At 59.5% G+C, this 5,426-nt stretch overlaps 1 pseudogene, besides 2 other annotated features; it reads right to left on the bottom strand.

Annotated features, from left to right (window-relative positions):
* Nucleotides 736-936: a silencer, noted in NCBI's record as "fragment chr16:1382600-1382800 (GRCh37/hg19 assembly coordinates)". NCBI's record gives its function as "represses an EF-1alpha promoter that drives an FKBP-Casp9 reporter gene in an ReSE screen in K562 erythroleukemia cells {active_cell/tissue: K562}" and the evidence as "EXISTENCE:reporter gene assay evidence [ECO:0000049][PMID:32094911]".
* Nucleotides 1,713-1,762: an enhancer, noted in NCBI's record as "active region_10221". NCBI's record gives its function as "activates an Ori minimal core promoter by ATAC-STARR-seq in GM12878 lymphoblastoid cells {active_cell/tissue: GM12878}" and the evidence as "EXISTENCE:reporter gene assay evidence [ECO:0000049][PMID:35858748]".
* On the bottom strand, nucleotides 3,726-4,909 carry RPS20P2 (ribosomal protein S20 pseudogene 2; annotated as a pseudogene).

The following is a 5,426-nucleotide window of genomic DNA, read 5'->3' as shown; positions in this document are numbered from 1 at the left end:
CGCCTTAGGGGACCCGGCCGGGGTCTCCGTGCCTTGAGCCGGGCCGGAGCCCCCTCCCCCGGGATGCGGGGCTGTGAGTCAACCCACAGGTGGCTGCGGGACGGGGAGCGGGCTTGGCTGCCTCGGGACCCCGCCTGGCCGCGCGCGCCCTCCCCGTGGCGCGTGGGGTCTAGAAGGGGGTGGTCGGCGGGGTCTCCTCCGCGGACCCCAGGGAAGCCACGGTCACGAAGACCAGCAGCGGTGCAGACCTTTCTGGAAGGGCCTGACTCAGGGACACCTCGCGGGCCCCGCCGCTCTCTTCTCGGGGCGGGGATGCGTCCTGCAGGGATCCACTCGGGACGCCCCACGCCCACGCGGACGGTCTGTGGGGCGATCGTCCCTGGGGCTCTGGTGAGGGCCCAGTTGGCGCTTGTGGGGTCACAGCCGGCCAGAGCCCCCGGAGCCCCTGGGGTCTGCACTGGACCCCGCCAGCCCCTCCCGGGTGGCTCCCCGCTCTTCCTCCGCTGCGCTGTCCTGGAACCCCAGCGGGCCCGCGGTCTCCTGCAGGGTTTGTTAAGGCATTGATGGGTCCTGTCCCCAACCCGCTGGTCCCGAAGTCTGGGTGGGGGCGCGATCTGCGTTTTTTCCCTTTTTTTTTCAGACAGAGTCTCGAAAAAGCTCTCAAAAATAGCTCTCAACCAGGTTGGAGCGCAGTGGCACCATCTCCACTCGCTGCAACCTCGAACTCTCCGGCTCAAGTGGTCCTCCCGCTTCAGCCTCCCCAGTAGCTGGGACCACCCGCCGGCTAATGTTTTTTGGTTTCTTTTGTGGAGATGGGGGTCTCCCTATGTTGCCCAGGCTGGTCTCAAACTCCCAGGCTCAAGGGATCCCCCTTCCCCGGCCTCCTAAGGCGCTGAGATCACAGGTGTGGTCCCCACGCCAGCCAGCGCCTGCACTTCCCAGCTCCAGTCTGCTGCCGCCAGTCCAGGGACCACACTTTGAGAAGTCCGTGCTAAGCATGGTCCTGTCGGGGGCCTGAGGCTCTCAGACTTGCCGAGGGCGCAGCGGCCCCCCGGTCGCACCTGCCCTTGGTCGAATACAGCTGGACACTCGCAGCCCTTTGGGGACAAGGGGTGGGGGGTGGTCAGACTTTGGAGTTTTCACCCGAAGGGCACCTGGGCAGCCCAAGGCCAGACAGGCTTCCAGAACACAGCTCTTCAAAGGGAGGGGGCCCGTCTGCCAACAACTGTCTTGGCTTCTGGATCCCAACTCACTCAAATCCATGCCCGCCCCACACCTGTCTGTGCAGGATCGGGGGCAGGACCCCTGGGTGGGCTCTCCTTCGGGACGCTCGGCCCAGGCTCTGCCGGATCCTGACCCAGCACAGCCAGGCCGGTGGGGGAGGGCAGGGAGCTTGCAGGAAATGCAGGGACTGGCTGGGACAGGGACGCGGTGGGGGAAGCAGGGGAGGGGGCCTGGGCCCTCAGCCCCACTCTGTAGCAGTGTTCTCCTGAGGGGCTGGTGGGTCTGGAGACCGGGTCTGGGAGTGACGCCCCTGCCTCTGCGGTCTTGCACCAGGTTCTGCCCACCTGTTGGAACAAACACAGGCCGGTTGCCATGGTGATCACACTGGCTTTAAGTGAAGGGACAGGCTCTGCAGCTACGGTAAACAGGAAGTTGGGAGGGGCAGCCGCTGCTCCGGCCCCTACGAGAGCACCAACCCTGAAACCAACACTGCAGTCCGTTGGGTGCGGGAGCACCCTTGGAGACCTCTCCCCACTCTTTTCTAGGTAGGGAGACTGGAGTCCGGAGACGGGAAAGGGCTTTTCCAGGGCCACATAGTGATAGGTTGAGTCCCAAACCAGCCCTGGGCCTCCGTTTCCCCAGGAGAGGACGGTCACTAGGACTGTCCCCTCCACAAACATTTGGTGAGGAGTCGAGGAATGAACGATCCGAGCGACACCCCACTCAGTGACCAAGGCCTTCATTCTCCAACTTGTTCTGAGGCTGAAGACAGGCTGACCTGGATCAAAGTCCCAGCACCCTGCTCACCCCTGCCCCAGGGCGACCCTCCACTGCCCGGGCCTCAGTTTCCCTCTTCTGTAAAATGGGGACAACAGCAGCACCCACCTTGGGTGCAGCTGGGGGACCTCAGTGAGCCAGTCTCAACTCACAGCAGGTCAGCCTCAGTCCCAGTTGGTGGGGATGGGAACTGCAGCCACCCAGCCAGAACTCCGGCCCCTCCAGTGACCCAATTTACCTTTCCATAGCTTGGGGCTGGAAGCCCATCCTCGCGTGAGTCCCCTCCCACTAAGAGAGAGGGCAGGAGAGTGGGCCGCCCACCCTCCCCACCCTGAGCCCCAGGCCTCACTCTGAAGGGGCTACCCTGGCGTCTCTGCCTTCGGACCGGAGTGCAGACAGCTGCCGTGCTCCGGGGACAGTGAGGGGATGGCGCAGGTGCAGGAACACCTCCCACCGATGTGTCGGGACACGAGACCCCCTGCCCAGACGGGGTCAGAGCTTGAGGAGGCTGCTGGGGCACCAGGGCTGCTTGTGCAAAGCTGAGAAAAGCCATTTTTCAAGCCTGGCTCTTTTCACATTCTCAGGACTTTGTGCTGGAAAGGGTCTGGCAGGCAGGGAGAGTAGCTTTTCCTCCTTAGGGCCGGGCCGGTGGCGGGGGGCGGAGATGGGGGGGCAGGTAAAAACACCAGGCTCTGGATACGCAGGCGCCAAAGCCGCTGAAGCACACAGGTGAGGCCATGGCAGAGTTAGACAGCCCCTCCTGTTCCACGCTCATGAGCACAGCGCAGGGCCCAGTGCTACCACCCTCTGGTGGCAGCCCTAGAAATTGCAGGCACAGCCTCCCAGAATCTGCCCCCAACTTCCCTCTGAGGACCCAAGCAAGGAAGGGCAGGGTCCTTGGAGAGCTCGTGGGGTCAGAGCCCAGGGACTCTGGCCAGGGACCCTGCCTGCCCCGGAGCTGGAGGACCCTGAAGACTGCCAGAACCTGTTCCTTGCCCCATCAAGAGAGGGGCTCTGGGTGGGAGGGCCTCAGCCCAAGTCTGGCCTCATGCCTGAGATGCTGGTCTCCAGATCCCACACCAGAAGCTCCGGGAGTCCTGCTGCCACGCGTGCACAGGTGGGGCCGGCTGGAGGTGACCACCCAGTGTCACGCTGGAGTTCTCTCAGGCCTCCGTGCTAGTAGCAGCATCTGTGAGGGGTCCAGGGCAGGGCAGGGACAAAGAAGTGGGCCCAAGACAGGGTCCTACCAAGCCCCCAAACAAAGGCCATTGGTGTGCCAGAGCCCTGCAGGCAGGACAGCCCCTGCTGCGGTGAGGCTTGGATGGCAGGGAGGATGGCACCCTGTCCCCTGGCCCCGCCTCCCACCAGCCTGAGGGTGGGGGTGTCAGAGGCCCCTTCCCAGCGAGATGGGCTTCTGTGCTCACTGTGGTTAGGGGCCCAGCAGGGAGAGGCCAGGCCCTCAGTGTGCATCCTTCTGTGCAGAGCTGGGGTTGGGAGGCGACTCCTCCCAGCTCTGGGGGCTTCAGAGTCCCTCCTTTTCTTTTTTTTTTTTGAGATGGAGTCTTGCCCTGTTGCCCAGGCTGGAGAGCAGTGGTGTGATTTCGGCTGTAACCTCTGCCTCCTGGGTTCAAGTGATTCTCCTGCCTCAGCCTCCCGAGTAGCTGGGACTACAGGCGCCCGCCACCATGCCCAGCTGATTTTTGTATTTTTTTGTTTTTTTTTTTCAACTGGTAATCAATTTATTAAAATAGTTGACTTAAGCATCTGCAATGGTGACTTCCACTTCAACTCCTGGCTCAATACTGATGGAAGTAATCTGCTTAACAATCTCAGAAGGACTGTGCAAGTCAATGAGTTGCTTATGGATGCTCATCTGGAGTTTTTTTTTTTATAAGTTTTTTTTTGAGATGGAGTCTTGCTCCGTCGCCCAGACTGGACTGCAGTGGCGCGGTATTGGCTCACTGCAAGCTCTGCCTCCCAGGTTCACGCCATTCTCCTGCTTCAGCCTCCCAAGTAGCTGGGACTACAGGCACCTGCCACCATGCCCAGCTAATTTGTTTGTATTTTTAGTCGAGATGGGGTTTCACTGTTAGCCAGGATGGTCTCAATCTCCTGACCTCGTGATCTGCCCGCCTCGGCCTCCCAAAGTGCTGGGATTACCGGCGTGAGCTGTAACCTGGCCTCATCTGGAGTTTTTCTTGTAGTGATTCTCAAAGTGTTGGTAGGATTCAAACCGGTCCTTTCACTTTGAGATTCTTTTCCTTTGTGCCTCTGATCAAGTCAGCACACACCTTTTCAAGTGATTTTATGCTGTAGCTCGTTAGAGTGATTCAGATTTGGTGAATTTTGGTGAATTTGGTGAATTTGGCGAATTTGGTGAATTTTGGTGAATTTGGTGAATTTTGGTGAATTGCCATCTCCGGCTCCTTGGGTGTTTTTCTGGTATCCTTAAAAGCCAAAAGAATTTTTTAGGCCGGGCGTGGTGGCTCACACCTGTAATCCCAGCACTTTAGGAGGCCGAGGTGGGCGAATCACGAGGTCAGGAGTTCGAGACCAGCCTGGCCAACATAGTGAAACCTCGTCTCCACTAAAAATACAAAAATTAGCCAGGTGTGGTGGCGTGTGCCTGTAGTCCCAGGCACTCGGGAGGCTGAGGCAGAAGAATCGCTTGAACCCGGGAGGTGGAGGCCGCAGCGAGCCGAGATCGCCCCACCACACACCAGCCCGGGCGACAGTGTTAGACTTCGTCTCAAAAAATAAATAAATTTTTAAAAAATAATAATAAAGCCATAGCTGCTGCGTGGCTTCCTGACCAGCTTGTTCCTTGGCGAGAGCGGACAGTGGTGAGTCAGGAGCAGGAGCGTGCGGATCAGCGATTCACAGCACCTACCACCACGTCTTCCTCAAAGGGCTAATTTTTGTATTTTTAGTAGAGACAGGGTTTCACTATATTGGTCAGGCTGGTCTTGAACTCCTGACCTTGTGATCCATCCGCATCAGCCTCCCAAGGTGCTAGGATTACAGGCATGAGCCACCGCGCCCGGCCTAATTTTTGTATCTTTAATGGAGATGGGCATTTGCCATGTCGGCCAGGCTGGTCTTGAACTCCTGACCTCAGGTGATCCTCCCAACTCGGCCTCCCAAAGTGCTGAGATTACAGGCGTGAGCCACCGCGCCCGGCCTCAGAGTCCCTCCTTAAACGCACAGCCCAGGCTCGGGAGGCCGAGGCAGGAGAACTGCTTGAACCCGGGAGGCGGAGGTTGCAGTGAGCCGAGATCATGCCACTGCTCTCCAGCCTGGGCGAGAGAGTGAGACTCCATCTCTAAATAAATAAATAAGGCACAGCCCGCATCGAGGAGTGGGAACTTGCCTTATTCGGCGGAGGGCATCCTGGAGGAAGGGCAGAGGCCCAGGGAAGGAAGAGC

This window comes from Homo sapiens, chromosome 16 (assembly GCF_000001405.40).
Source record: "Homo sapiens chromosome 16, GRCh38.p14 Primary Assembly".
In the NCBI taxonomy this organism is placed as follows: Eukaryota; Metazoa; Chordata; class Mammalia; order Primates; family Hominidae; genus Homo; species Homo sapiens.
The sequence above is the reverse complement of the archived record's forward strand: the minus strand, read 5'-3'. Positions and strand labels throughout refer to the sequence as shown.